Source organism: Homo sapiens, chromosome 5 (assembly GCF_000001405.40).
Source record: "Homo sapiens chromosome 5, GRCh38.p14 Primary Assembly".
In the NCBI taxonomy this organism is placed as follows: Eukaryota; Metazoa; Chordata; class Mammalia; order Primates; family Hominidae; genus Homo; species Homo sapiens.
In genome coordinates, this window is record NC_000005.10 from 2,561,044 (window position 1) to 2,576,166 (window position 15,123).

The 15,123-nt window shown below is 44.8% G+C and overlaps 1 annotated feature.

Moving 5' to 3' along the window:
* Positions 4,112–4,281: an enhancer, noted in NCBI's record as "experimental_84195 CRE fragment used in MPRA reporter constructs". NCBI's record gives its function as "activates a minimal promoter by MPRAs in K562 erythroleukemia cells, with activity observed for both the introgressed and non-introgressed 5:2565354 variant alleles {active_cell/tissue: K562}" and the evidence as "EXISTENCE:reporter gene assay evidence [ECO:0000049][PMID:34662402]".

Below are 15,123 nucleotides of genomic sequence, written 5' to 3' on the forward strand. Positions count from 1 at the left end.
TGTGCAGGCAGCTCCCCAAGCGCAATGCAGGCCCCACCACCGTGCGTTTCCTTGTACGATAGACACCAAACGTCAACCACGCCTACTTATGAGTATGAAGTGTTTTCGCCTGGGCACGGTGGCTCACGCCTGTAATCCCAGCACTTTGGGAGGCCGAGGCGGGTGGATCACGAGCTCAGGAGATCGAGACCATGGTGAAACCCCGTCTCTACTAAAAATACAAAAAATTAGCCGGGCGTGGTGGCGGGCGCCTGTAGTCCCAGCTACTCGGGAGGCTGAGGCAGGAGAATGGCGTGAACCTGGAAGGCGGAGCTTGAAGTGAGCTGAGATCGCGCCACTGCACTCCAGCCTGGGCGACAGAGCGAGACTCCGTCTCAAAAATAAATAAATAAATAAATAAAAAATAAAGTAAAATAAAATGTTTTCATGTTTCTTAGGAATTAGATTCATTTGAGAGTCATTATTTTAAGGTGAACCTGTCCATTTGGGCAGCTGATTTTTAATCAACATTTGTATGGTTGTATTCATGGATATACACCGAAGGAAAAGGGCATTGTCACTGATCATTTACATAGATCTACTGTTTTTTTATTATCAGCCCATTGGGACAATCTAAAATGTTGGCCAATTCCCAGGCACACAGGCATAGCCTTTGGTGCAGCAACTTACAAACTCACGCTGTGGGAGAACTTTTCCTGAAGGACTGGAAATGTCTTCTTTTCTTTTCATTAATCTTTTTAAGCTATTTTTATTAATAAAGCAAACATGGGATGTATAACATTAAATAAGTCCAGGATGAAGATTTTTTTTTATTTCTTCCTTTGCCTAAACATCAAAGCATCTGCCTTGGTATATAATAAGACATCGATATTCCAGTGAAAAAGAAACTTTCGGGTACGTATTTCCTACTTGTCAAGACTCCAGCTTAAATATTCTGGGTAGAATCCTGGCTTGATCTCCAGTGTCAAAATGTGAGTATCCGAATTTCATTCATGCCAACACAGCTTCCTGATGCTCCGCTGGCAGCCACAGCCCAGACACCCGCTTGGGTCTGAGCCCAGCTGAAGGGCGCAGTGTAGTGGCTGATCCCGGAGCTTGGTGGTGTGTCATCAGCCTGTGTGTGTCCTCCTTCCTGTGCCTGTGCCGGCAACACACATCACACTCCACACCCTCTGTGTGTGCATCGGCACTTTCCCGGGCACGCGCTGTGAACACTGTCACAGGGGACGGCCCAGCCCATCTACACCCGCTGCAGAGTCAGCACTTCAGTTGGAGCCCTACTCAACTGTGCTTGTGAAATAAGTGGATTTTAGGTCTTTCTGCAAGGCGACAACTTTTTGATATGACCTTTGATGAAGAGATTTAAAAACAAAAACCAACTCGCAGCAGTGGCAGGAAGGAAATGACCTTCCGTTTTCCCTGGTTTAGCTGAACACCCTATGGGTATTTAGTCATTATGGATCCAAACCATAGACTCCCAGTTCAGCAGGTAGTGTAAAAGCTACATATTCATCTCAGCCCAGTCAAGAAAACAATCCAAGCCAGTTGATGGGACAGGGGTGTTACAAAGGTACCAGGAAAACTGAAAAGTCAAAGGATTCAGCAATCGGCAGGGTGATGGCAGCAATCCACTTAGTGCTTCCGGGAAGGAGAGGCTGAGGTGAGGTGTTGCCGGAACACAGGGCTGGTGGGACTGAGGAAGGCTAGACCCAGGGACCTCACAAAGGGGGACCATCTGCAGCTAGAGGAACCTTGGACTGTGGAATGCACTGACGGAGGTGCAGTCAAAGCAGAAAAGGAGGAGGAGGAACACCCTGGCTCCCCATCTCCCACTCTGCAGTCTCCTGCCAGCATCTGCCTGTGCCTGCCATTGTGTAGGCACCCAGAGCCACTGGACAGTGGGTAAGGGAGTTGGGGAAGACAGACAAGAGCAGGGAGGGCCCAGGCAGTGGACGTGAGCACGGCCAGACCAGCACCAGCTTGGTGACCGTGCAGAACCCACGTCTGTGCTGTGGGTGGGGCACTGTGGAGACTATTGAGGCCACAGCAACCGTAGAGAGCCGGCCCTGCTGAATCAGGGCCTCTGCTGCTGTGGGAGTCTGGGGGTCTCAGTTCTTACTGAACATGACAGGCTCTCCAGAGCTGTTGGTGCCACTCTCGATCCTGGGCAGGGCTGGATGAATCATTCCTGGCATCAGTTTCTGACAAGTAGCTACCGTAATTCCCACCACCTCCAGGGGTCAGACTTTCCAGTGGTCGGGACATTCTGACATCTGGCCACAGATTGGAGGTCAGCAGGAGATGCCAAGGTGTGGGGGACCTGGAGGCTGGAGCCTTTGTGTGCTCCCCTCTTTGGAAGTGTCAATGTCTAACTCTTGAGACACAACCGGAGGACTCTGTACCAGGAGGGAGACTGAGGCTGCTGATGGAACTGGAGGGCACATCTCTCCTGCAAGGCTGTGGCCTACGTGCAGGTCCTGATGTTGAGTTACCCTGAGCGGCAGGGTGGGAGACATAGGAGACATAGTGTCAGAGCACCTGCAGCAAAAGACAGCTGTCCATGAGGAGAGGAAGGAAAAGAAGATGGACCCCAAAGGAATAGCTACTGGGAGTAATTTGGCCAGACTAATAGTGCCTCAAGCCACCTCTTCAATATAACAAAATGGAATAATTATGGTTCACAATGATGACCTTGAGTCATCAAAAAACTATTTAATCATGTTCAAATAATTTTGTTTCCAGAGAGTTCATTTCAGTTCAACAAATATTTATCATCAGCTAATTACATGCTGGGGGCTGTGAGCACACTGGGGTAAGCTTTGGGGAGTGCGTGCTAATTTGAGCAGTGAGGCTGCAGCCCTGAAGTAACCTGTCGGTGAGGATGCATATGATGGCAAGAAAATGGCAGCTCTGCCTGGATGTGCTGGCCTCACAAGTGCAGACGCAGTGTCAGGCAAATTCAGGCTCGATTCTGGACTCAGGGACTCTGTGATCCCCCACCTGTCTCCACCTGGAGCTCAGCTCTGCCTTCCTTAGCAGTGTGGATCCCGGGGGTCATGGGATCACTGCTGTCTGCACCGGGCCTCCTTCTCCTCTCCTTTGAGTTAGGCGAGGACAGAGGGTGATGTTTATGGGATCTGTTTTAAAAAAGAAAGGTTTCCTAGTCATGTCAACAAAGGACTGGATCCAGAGGGGCCAGGGCAAGGCCCTGAAGCAGAGACAACTGGTGGGGATGGATTACAGGCTCTGCTGGTCGCCTGTGCCCAGGGCTGGAGGGTGCTGCAGGTGGAGGAAAAGTACCAAGGGAAGAAGTGGCAATTTCCCACCCTGCAGGGGAGCACGGCGGCTGGTGGTAACGCAGGGAGCACGGCGGCTGGCCGTAACGCAGGGAGCACTACAGCTGGCGGTAATGCAGGGAGCACGGCGGCTGGCGGTAACGCAGGGAGCACTACAGCTGGCGGTAATGCAGGGAGCACGGCGGCTGGCGGTAACGCAGGGAGCACGGCGGCTGGCGGTAACGCAGGGAGCACTACAGCTGGCGGTAACGCAGGGAGCACTACAGCTGGCGGTAATGCAGGGAGCACGGCGGCTGGCGGTAATGAGTGCTTGAGCCGGAATCAGAACTGCACCTGCAGAAAGCTCAGTGCTTGTTCACTTCATCACCACGACGAAGACACCTGTGAAACTTCTGGAAGCTATCTGTTAAACCAGATCCTTATAAGTTCAGAAATGTAAAGGGAAGGAGACCCTTACAGAGAACCAATGGGTTACTAAGTAACAGTAACAAATAACCAAAGCTGATTAAGCTGATTCTCACGGGCAAGGCTTCCCTGTCGCCGTAAATACACACCAATTAGCTTTTCCAGAGAGGCCCGGGATCCACTTGGGATGGCTTTCAGTGTCAAGAGAGGGTGGAGACACATCACAGAGAACAAGGCAATGCATTCCAAGAAACTGTTCAAATTGAAAGCCTTACACTTTGTCTACAACTGTAAACAACATATTACTTTGTTCATGTGCAGGCCCCCCCCGCTAAAGCTGAAACTGTCTCCCTAATAATACATAAAGAAATATTAATTAAAATAAGTAAATGCATAAATACATAGCTGAGTTAGAAAAAAAACAGGAAGTCCTTCCATGTCAGAAATGAACAGGGAGCTCCAAGCTTGCTCAGAGAACCCTTGCAATGGGGCCCCGGGCTTGGGGTTAGGTCAGCCTCCATGAGAGACCTGTCCCCTGGCTTTGGGGCCGTCATGAGAATGGGCCTCGCAGACTCCAGATGAAGCATGGGTGGGAGGTCTGGGGTTGCTGATGTTCTCAAAGACTCATGGCATATTTGTGTAGACACCAAGCTGCCCGGGGGCTGCCTCTGTTTGAGACCTGGGCCTCCCCGGACAGCCCACACTGGCTGGAAGACTCTCTGAAGCTTAACCAAGCCTCCCTTGTGTCCCTTTCCCCAGCTTCTCCTGGCTCCTCCCCTCAGAGGACCCTTCCGTCCTGGTTCCATGCTGGCCAGCCTGGCCGTGGTTCTCCTGACTTTTCCTCACACAGTGAGACACATGCTGGTGTCTGCTTCTTCAAGGGCCTGGAAGAACAGTTTCTGCACCGTGTGAAATGAGATGGTTTCTCACTATGGAGATGCTTGAGGGACAAAAGAAGACCCCATCTGCTATCCTGGAAAAGCAAAAAGGTAGCTGGTCATCTGCTGGAAGCTTAAAGAAAAATGTTTCAAAAAGATCCTGCATTCACTATTTACAATAGCAAAGACATGGAACCAACCCAAATGCCCATCAATGATAGAATGAATAAAGAAAATGTGGCACATATACACCATGGAATATTATGCAGCCATAAAAATAAATGAGATCATGTCCTTTGCGGTGACATGGATGAAGCTGGAAGCCAGAATTCTCAGCAAACTAACACAGGAACAGAAAACCAAACACTGCATGTTCTCATTCACAAGTGGGAGTTGAACAACGAGAACACATGGACACAGAGAGGGGAACATCACACACCAGGGCCTGTTGGTGGCGTGGGGGGCAAGGGGAGGGAGAGCATTAGGACAAATACCTAATGCATGCAGGGCTTAAAACCTAGGTGAAGGGTTTATAGATGCAGCAAACCACCATGGCACATGTATACCTATGTAACGAACCTGCACGTTTTGCACATATATCTCAGAATTTAAAGTTAAAAAAAAAAAAGACCCTGCATTTCAATCAAAGCTCCAGTGTGTGACTTGCAAGTAAGGTCCACATGCATATGACTGGGATCATACAAGAATTGCAAATTGATGAATTAAGACATAAAGTGTTCAGGGACTACAGACTTATCTATGCCCTGGCAAAAAGAAAAAATGAAAAAAAAAAAACACACACACACACAGACTGAAACTCTGTAGGGCCATCCATCCAGCACACGGTTTTCTCATAGAAAACACACAAATAATGAATCATCGAGATCATGAATCACTGTGAGGAAAACTCAGAAGACACAGAAAATGAAAGCATGAGCCCCTAACAGAGAGAACAAGTGTCACTATTTTTTTTTTGAGTTGGGTTTTCACTCTTTTTTCCTAGGCTGGAGTGCAATGGCGTGATCTTGGCTCACTGCAACCTCTGCCTCCTGGGTTCAAGTGATTCTCCTGCCTCAGCCTCCCGAGTAGCTGGGATTACAGGAATGCTCCACCATTCCTGGCTAATTTTGTATTTTTAGTAGAGACAGGATTTCATTATGTTGGCTAGGCTGGTTTTGAACTCCTGACCTCAAATGATGTGCCCCCCTCAGCCTCCCAAAGTGCTGGGATTACAGACATGAGCCACTGTGCCGGGCCAGTATCACTATTAAGGAGACTGTAGAGTATTGTGTTTCCATTACTTTAAGCTACCAAAGAAGAGCTAGGAATCCATTTTAAGTGAGATACACTTGAAAGAAATAAGTTATAATTTCTAAAAATGAGAACAACTCTAGTCACTCTGAGGTAAAGTTCAATGGACGGATTTCACAGTGAACTGAATATGTGTGAGAGAGATTTCATGAATGACGTACTGTGTGGCCCAGAGAGGTAGGAAGAAGGGAGGCCCAGGGAGGTGAGAAAGAGATAATAGAGTTCCTGAAGAAAGCATAAAAGCCACAATGAGGAGCTCTAGAAGATGGAATGAATCCACTGTCCAAGGCTTCATGAAAGAGACAGAGCTTTACTGAGGAATCCCAGAGTTCAAGTGACAGGGGTAGAAACACATTGACGCTAATATTCTGGTGGAACTGAAGAATCCCAAAGACAAGTCTTAGAAGCATCCAGGGAAAAGAGGGGCCTCTAAGGAGAGTGTCAGTGAGATAATCAGATCGACCTCATTAACACTAAGAGGGCCGGAAAGAAAGGAATATGATTGCCAATTACTGCCAGACGATAATCGTCCAGCAAGAATTCTGCACCCGGCAAGCAGTTATTAAAGGGTGAGGGTGGGGTAATGAGCAAAAAAAAATATACTAAGATGAATTGACCTTCACTGAAAAACTCACCAAAGGATGCACTTGAGTAAGGAGAAAATTAACCCAAATAAAAGGACTAGATGTAAGAAGCAATAGTGAACAAAGAAAGTGGCGAAACTCTTGGTTAATCTGAGCACACTGTGACTGTAGGAACAATAGTAATCAAGATGAATAATTTGGGGGTTAAAAGGAGGTGGAAAAATATTGAAAATAATATGAAATTTGAGATGTCCTTAGAGAGTTGGAGTAAAGAGTAGAGATATTGATTAACTTTAGACTTTTGTAGGTCAAGTATTCTTGTTGACATTTTAAGGGTAATCACCAAAAGAATATAAATAGAATACATAACTTACATAGAAACAGAGGAGAAAAAAGTAATAAAAAAGTAATCAATACAATACAAGATTGAAAAGGAGAAATAAAAAGAGCAAAGAACCGGCATGAAAAATCGTGAACACAAAATAATACAGTGGAAATGAATCCAACCGTAATACTAATTATATATCAATTGTTCAAAAATAAAGAGTTCTCAGAGTGCATATTTTTAGAAATCCAGTCATGTAGTGTTTAAGAGAAACATGCACAAAATAAAAATGACGTAGACAGATTGGAATAAAACAAATGGACAAAAGATATGCCGAATGTATCCATCAGAGTCCCACCCCCAAAATAGGCAGCAAGCACACAGAATAATTGAGGAGAGGCTGGGTGTGGTGGCACACACCTGTAATCCCAGCATTTTGGGAAGCCAAGGCAGGAGGACTGCTTGAACCCAGGAGTTTGAGACCAGCTTGGGCAACATAGTGAGACCGCGTCTCTACAAATAATAAAAAATTAGCTGGGCATGATGGTGTGCACCTGTAGTCCCATCTACTTGGGAGGCTGAGTTGGGAGGATCATTTGAGCCTGGGAGGTCAAGGCTGCAGTCAGCCATCATGGCACCACTGCACTCCAGCCTGAGCAACAGAGCAAGACCCTGTCCCAAAATAAAAAAAAGAATAAGTAGGATTGAGGAGAGTTAATGTACAAGCTATTTCCAGGGGTGGTGCAGCCGCAGGGCAGGTGAACATCAGCAGATGCTGCCTGCAGGTGTGAAGGGATGGGAAGGAGGGGACATTCCCTGGAGCCTGCAGGGCGAGTGCCCTGTAAAGTCGGCTGCCTTGAGAGGCACAGTGGGAACCCAAATGTGGGAGCAACCTGGCATCTTCCAGGAGTAGGGTGGGTAGGGAGAGGCAGACATCAATTCCCGACCCCTCCAACCTCTTCCTCTTGTCTCCTGTGGGCTCCTCAATGGCCAAAGCCATCTGGAAGCCAGACAACTTGGGAGCTGATGGTGTGGCCCATGCAGGTCCCCTCCTGGGGCGAGGATCAGGAAAGAGAGGATACTGAAGAGCCAGAAGGAAACACAGACATTCTGACACAAGGACTGATCCTAACCACGCTTCCCCTCCATCTCCAATGATCACAAAACAGTGCTTGATGTTAGCATTGGTTGAATGGACTCTAAGACAAACATATTAAGATTAAGGAAATATTTCACCATGAAAAAGATAGGTATCATCTCATCAGGGGTATAAAAATCCTGAATCTGTACACACACTTGTCAAGGTAGTGTCAAAGAGCACGATGAAGACATGGAGAGAATGGCAAAAGCAGCTTTTAAATCCACAATAGCCGTTGCAGGCTTTAGCAGGCTGCTCTCAGAGACTGATAGGTCAAGGAGATAATCTTGAGTAATGATCTGGAAGAGACGAGCAATATAATTAACAAGCGTCATCTTCCAGCCGAAGAGAAGCCGAGGCCTAGGCTGCAGGGGCCGTGGCGGGCAGCCGGGAGTGTCCTGCTGTTAAGTTCACAACTGAGAAAGCACCCACAGGCAGGAAACATACCCAGGGACTTCCTCCAGAGACCGTTGGACCTGCACTGAACACACTCCCCCAAGTGAACCACAGCAGAGAGGAAGCCGAATCACCAACTTAGGTATTAAGGCAGCTCTTCCAAAATCCAGACTAGGAGTCCTCCCTGAGCATGTCAGGCTGGCCATGTCACAGACTCCTAGCTCGGGACAATGCTCAGTGTCATTCTAGCCTACCAGCAGGGTTCCTGACTTGTCAAGTGAACCCTGGTGAATGTCACAGAGGTCAAATGAAATGATGAAATTCAGACCAGGCCGGAAAGACTTCTCTGCACAAGCTTCCAAGGAAGCTGAAAGCTGTCGCTGTGGGCTTGGATGTCTCAAGGGCTTGAGATGCCTGACAACAGTCTCAGGGAAGCTGAGGAGCAGAGATGAGGGCAAGGATCTGGGAGACAGAGAAGCAGGGATGCAGGACGAAGCAAGACAGTACAGCCCTGCAGGCAAGAACCTTCCAGAAGGTGGAATGCTGTGGGCCACTGTGATCCTCACGTCCCTAGGGTCAGGCTGCCCACTTCCTGCACCCCTGCAGGCTCCAGGGCGAGAAGAGAGGCCATTGGCAGGCCCCTCCTCTTCTGCAGACCCTTCTGAAGACTATGCCTTGAGGCCCAATTCTCATCTCCGCCTCGGCCCACACACATGGCTGAATACTCCTGATGCCGTCTCCAGCCGTGGCCTCTTCTCCGAGGTCACATGCTGGTGACCACCTCCTCTGAACATCACCGATATGCCTTCAGAACCTGCAACCCACGTCCTTCTTACTCTCTAACCAGCCTCTTTTACATTATTTTGAGGAAGAGCCGCCAACATGTGGCTGCTGAAAGGGAAACCCAGGCACTCTTGCTCTTTCACTCAACAGCCCGCACCTGCTGCAGAGGCAGATGCTGTGGCCTCCTCCGCCTCCTCTTCTCTGTCCTCCTCTCCATGCTCTCACAAGCGAGCCTGGCTTCCAGCTCATCCACCTGCCTGAGTGGACCTTGACACTCTTCTGCCCTCAGGTCCTCCCTTCCCAGGCCCCACCTCCACCCCGTCTGTCCCCTGATATAAGGGTCATCTAAACACAGGCACACCTGTCCCCAGTGTGGAAATTTGAATGGGACAAAATTCTGCACAACTGTTGGTCATGCTCACATCTTCAGGGGCGTGGGGAGTTTTGCTGTTGTTTTATTTGCTTTTTGGTTTTGTTTTGTGTTGCTCACGTTCTCACTTTTAGACATAGAATAAAATCCAAAGCTATCAGGGAGGCTGCCGTGTCAGTCCATGAGCCCTAAGTCAGTCCGGACCCCTGCTGTCCAAAGCAATGCATGAGAAATTAAAACACACCGGGAAGCCCAGACACATTTAAATCCACTCCCAATCACCGGTGCTTTATTCTGGGAAGCAAAACAGACAAATGAAGAGCACAGCACTAAGACTAACACCAGGCTCTTCATTCATAGATGTACTCCCTGCTTGTAACAGAGGCATTAAAATCAGTGGGTCAGTGTCAGGATACATGTGCCGCTGCTGCGCTCTCCGTTACCGCATTTAGTTCCTGAATGTTTGTAATCGTCCCCAGGCAGTGCCAGGTCTTAGAAGAAGTGACCTCAGAGGGAACAGAAGTTGGATAGAATATCTCAAGCTCATTTTGCAAGCATCAAATCTCTGAGCCTTTTCCAGACAATTCTTTCACCCTAATAGTCCCCCTTCCCTGTTAGAATTACGAGGCAAATATTTCAAGCATTTTAGAGAAACATTTTCAAGATAAGCACTTATAATTAAACAGTTATGATCGTAACAAATCATTCCTAACTATTCTAACAATGCAGTAATACACAGGGGTGAGAATGTGCTTTTGGTGTCAGAGAATCTCAGCTCATGTCCCAATTCGCCAACAACTCATTGTGAAATCTGCACAGATCATATATTCTCTCTAAGTGCATAGTATTGTTTTGTCTTGTTTTGTTTTATTTACAATAGGGATAAAAGACATACCTATCTCTTGGTAGTTTCATGTGTATAAAGGGTTAATAATGTGAAATACTTAGTACAGTGCTGAAGTATTAGAGGGATTCAACAGGGAGCTACTGTTCTTATGGGTTTATTAATATTGTTCATTAAAGCAAGTTTTCTAAAATAATTCTGCTACTCAAACTCTCAATAATTATGACTGTTTCTCCATGAATAATGAAGGTGAAGACATTAGCTACTAGTCCATCAATCCCATGTAGTCCTGCTTTTATTAGAGAAATACATTTTTGTTGAATAATCATTTTACGAGGATGTGAAAAAAAAAGCCACAGTGAGAATTGGGTTTGATTTGTTTGTTTTCCTTTGCTTTTAGCATGAAGACATTTTCCACTTCTGTCTAACAATGTTTATTCAACCCTTTGAGCAGCCTGTCATTGTTACACATGAACATACATTTCCCTTACTTTGAGCAGCCTAGAATGAGCAGTGCCATAAAAATACAAGAACCTAGGACACGCATGCTGAGAAACGAATGTTGATGAACACATTAGGTAGTACATAATGCCAGAGCATAGGATGTCTCTGCTCCTAACTTTCCACTTCCTCAGTGCCTTTCAGCTCACTCATTCGCTCACTCCCTCACTCTCATAGCATTATTAAGCACCTCCTATGCTTCGGATGCTAGGTTCAGAGATGGAGGTCTTACTGGTAGCACCAAACCCACCTACATGCAGTCAGTGTTGGAGAATGTGACGGGCAGTCAGAAACACAGAGGAAAGTATGAGGACTGTTGCCCAAAGTGTCCCAAGGCTCAAAGGAAGCTGGAAGGAAAAGATGTTTGAGATCCAGAGACACTGGGGATGGAAAGCCTGGGCGTGAGGTGAGGTACCCCCGTTGGGAGTGTTTTAGAGAATGAATATGTGAATGTACCCTGTCCCTCTTCTGCCGTGATTTCAGAGGCATTTACAAAAGGAAGTGAGGAAATGTAACAGACTCAAGCACCTTGATATCAATTCAGTTGAGCTCTGTGCACCTGAGGCTCAGGCCTGGGGCTTTCTAAGCATCCTGCCCTAAAATCAGGAATGAGAGATGAAACATCACTACAGCTACCACAGACAGTAACAGAAAAATAAGGGCATGTTATAAACAGCTTCACGCCAATAAATTCAAAAACTTAGGTGAAGTGGACAAAGTTCTTAAATGACACAAACTACCAAATTTCACTGAGGAAGAAATAGTTGATGTGCATAGCTCTGTTTCTGTCGAAGACATTGAAGCCGTACTTTGAAACCTTCTCACAAAGAAATTTGCCAGCCCCAGTGGCTTTAGTGGTGAGTTCTATCAAACATTTAAAGACGTGATGGTACCAATTCTATAGAAACTCTTAAAAACTGGAAAATGAAGGAACATTTAACACCTCGTTCTATGAAACCAACATATAACAAAACCAGGCAGAGAATTTGCAAGAAAACTACAGATCATAAATATATTAACAGTGATAAAATTTCTTATAAAATTGTTAGTTAATCAAACCCAGCAATTGAAAAAAGATAATATATTATGACCAAGGTTGATGCATTCCAGGAATGCAAAATTGGTTTAACATTTGAAAGCCAACCAATATATTTACCCAATATGGCTAAAATAATTAAAAGTTACATGATCCTATGAATAGATACAGAAAGCATTTGGTAAAGTCTGACACTTATTCATGACAACAACTCTCAGACTACTAGAAATAAAGAGAAAAAATCACAGAGGTTGGAAGGGAAGAAGAACCATCTCCAGCTTTAGTGACTTGATCATGTGTGTCAATAAATGTGAAGCAGTCTACACAAAAAGCTACTGAAACTAAGAAAAGTTTACTGGGTGGAGGAGAGTATATCAAAACCTATTGTGTTTTTATATGCAATCTACAATTATTTAGAAATTAATTTTAGTGCCTTTTACAATAGCATCAAAATACATGAAACATTCAATAATAAATTTAACAAAATACATTAAAAACATTAAAAGGAAAGTGCAATGGACCTATTATATCCAACTCAATTTTGAGTAAAAAATAATGAAGGACATCGATATTACTTAAGATTTATATAAAGTTACAGTAATCAAGAAAGTGTGATATTACCATAAAGAGAGACATGAAAATAATAGAACCTATTAGAGAACCCAGGAATAAACCTACATATAGGGAGTCAACTGAATTTCAACAAAGATGTCAAGGCAATTCAATGGAGAAACAAATCGTGCTGAAATAATTAGATATTTGTATGCAAAATTTAAAAAGCAAAGGAGATGTGTATCCTTACTTTACATCATATACAAAAATTAACTCAAATACTTCATAGACCTAAACATAAGAGCAAAAACTCTAAAACTTCTATAACATATTTGAGGAGAAAAGTCCTTGTGACCTTGGATTGGTCAGAGTTCTTAGATAGCATATCAAAAGTCTGAGCTATACCATTTCTAACATAAATACATAAATCGGACTTTTAAAATGTTTAAAATGTGCTGTTTCAAAGACGTTTTTAGGGAAAATGAAAAAGAAGCTTCAGACTGGGAAAAATAATTAAGTCATATATGTTATTTTAAAAAATCTTGTGTTTGCAAATAAAAAGTACTTTTACAACTTGATAATGAGACATAGAACAAGACAACCCAATAAAAATATAACGGGAAGAACATTTGAAGAAATGTGAAACAAAAGAGATATATATGGTAAATAAGTGCAATGAATAACCAGTGATTAATGCTCAACCTCATTAATCACCAGTTTATTCAAAATGAAATTAGTTATTTTAAGATCTGATAATAATACTAAGCATTGAGTATTGAAGTTGTGGAGCCATTGAAACTTTCATGCATTGTTTGCGGGAAAGCAAAACAGGAGTACAGCCACCTTGAAAAACAGGTGGCATTTTCTCATAAAGTTAAACATACACTTAACATGAGTCAAACATCCCACTCCTAAGCAGTTGCCTAAGGAAAATGAAAACACGTCTGCACAAAGAACTGTAACCGAATATGCACAGCTGCTTTATTCTTAATAGATGAAAATTGGAAACAGCCCAATGTTCATCATCTGATGGGTGCAAAGTCGGAGGGTGGCCTAGGCACACAATGGAATACTGCTCAGCACTAAACGAGGCAGACCAAGGACGCAGCCACCATGGGCAGATGGATCCCTGAGCGTGGGATCACGTGAAAGTCACCAGGCAGAAGCTAGTGAGCTGCAGGAGTGGTTCCGTTCACCTAAAATTCTAGAAAAGGCAAATCTGAGTCACAGGGGCAGGTCAGTGATTGCCAGGGTTGGGGGACGGATGGACTAGCATGAGGGACGAGGTGCCTTTTCGGTTGGGGAAATGCCCTAAGTCTTTATCATGGTGGCTGTCACACGGTATACACATATGCATGTCACACGGTATACGCATATGCATGTCACACGGTATACACATGTGCATGTCACACAGTATACACATATGCATGTCACATGGTATACATTCATCAAAATTCATCAGCTGTGCACTAAAGGAGGGTGAATTGGACTACATATAAACCTTACCTCAGTAAATATGTTATTTTAAAAAATCACTGCAGTGGTCAAATGAAGAAGGAATTAGAAAGATGGCCCAGGGTAAAAAGGATACCAGAAATGAGGCTACTGTGGAATCCCAGGATGAACATGGTAGCAGCAATGAGTGGTGGGAGTGGGAGGGTGGAAGAGAAAGATGCTGGTAATGTGAACTCAAAGTCAGTTTTCCCTTTAAGAAATTGAATACTTTTGGGGAAAATTCCATTCCTAACAGAAATGTTTAATGGTGACGTATGTTCCGTATTGAAAATATGATACATTGCATGCCAAACCAAAATGTCCCCAAAGTGCCCCTAACAATATCCTTTTGTTTTCCTCTAAGAGAAGTCACAACTTTTTTATGATGTGTTTCACCCCCTTGGCCCAATCTCTGCACAGGCAAACCTAGGCAGGACCCCTGAGCAGGAGCCCTGCTGTGTCCTGCCTCCGTCCTTCCTGCTAGAAGCCTCCCTAGGGGCCCAGCTTCACCTGAGCTTACAAAACATTCCCCCTCACCCAGCAGGAAGGCTTTCCAACCGCATCCCCTCCGAGAGGGGCAGGGGTCCCCTCTGTGCACTTTGCCTCCTGGGCAATTGTAGCTGCACATTAACCACTACATTCCAAGAGAAAATGAGACTCACTGAAATTTCAGATTGTTGAAAGTTCTTTGCCTTAAATGAAGTTAACCCTTCAACAGTCAGGATGTGCCTTTTTTATCTGCAGCCTCACTGGCTGTGAGTTCCATGGGAAGAGTAAAGAATGCTTATCAACTAACCCTCCAAAGAATGTATGGGCGTTTGGGTGGGAACTAAGAATCCACTCAGCTGCAGAGACTTCTCACATATGAATCCGTGTTCTTCCCAATATTTGGCTCTCATCCACTTAATTTTCAATACTCTAGACATTTTCCAATATACATTTGTGCACATGTCTCAATGATTTTTCTCTTTTTGCAACACTAAGCATTGATTTTTCTTCTCTGTGATTAAGTTATTCCAGATAGTCAGTAGATTGTGGGGGGAGAAGACATTTTATTAGTTAATAATTTCCTTACCAAACTATTTGACTCATGGCTGAATCATACATTTTTATGGGCTACTAGGCCATTGAATCAAAGGCAGAAGATCTGAAGCACATTTTCTGCTTTCTGCCATAATATTTTACCAACGAAGAAGCTTTGACCATTTCA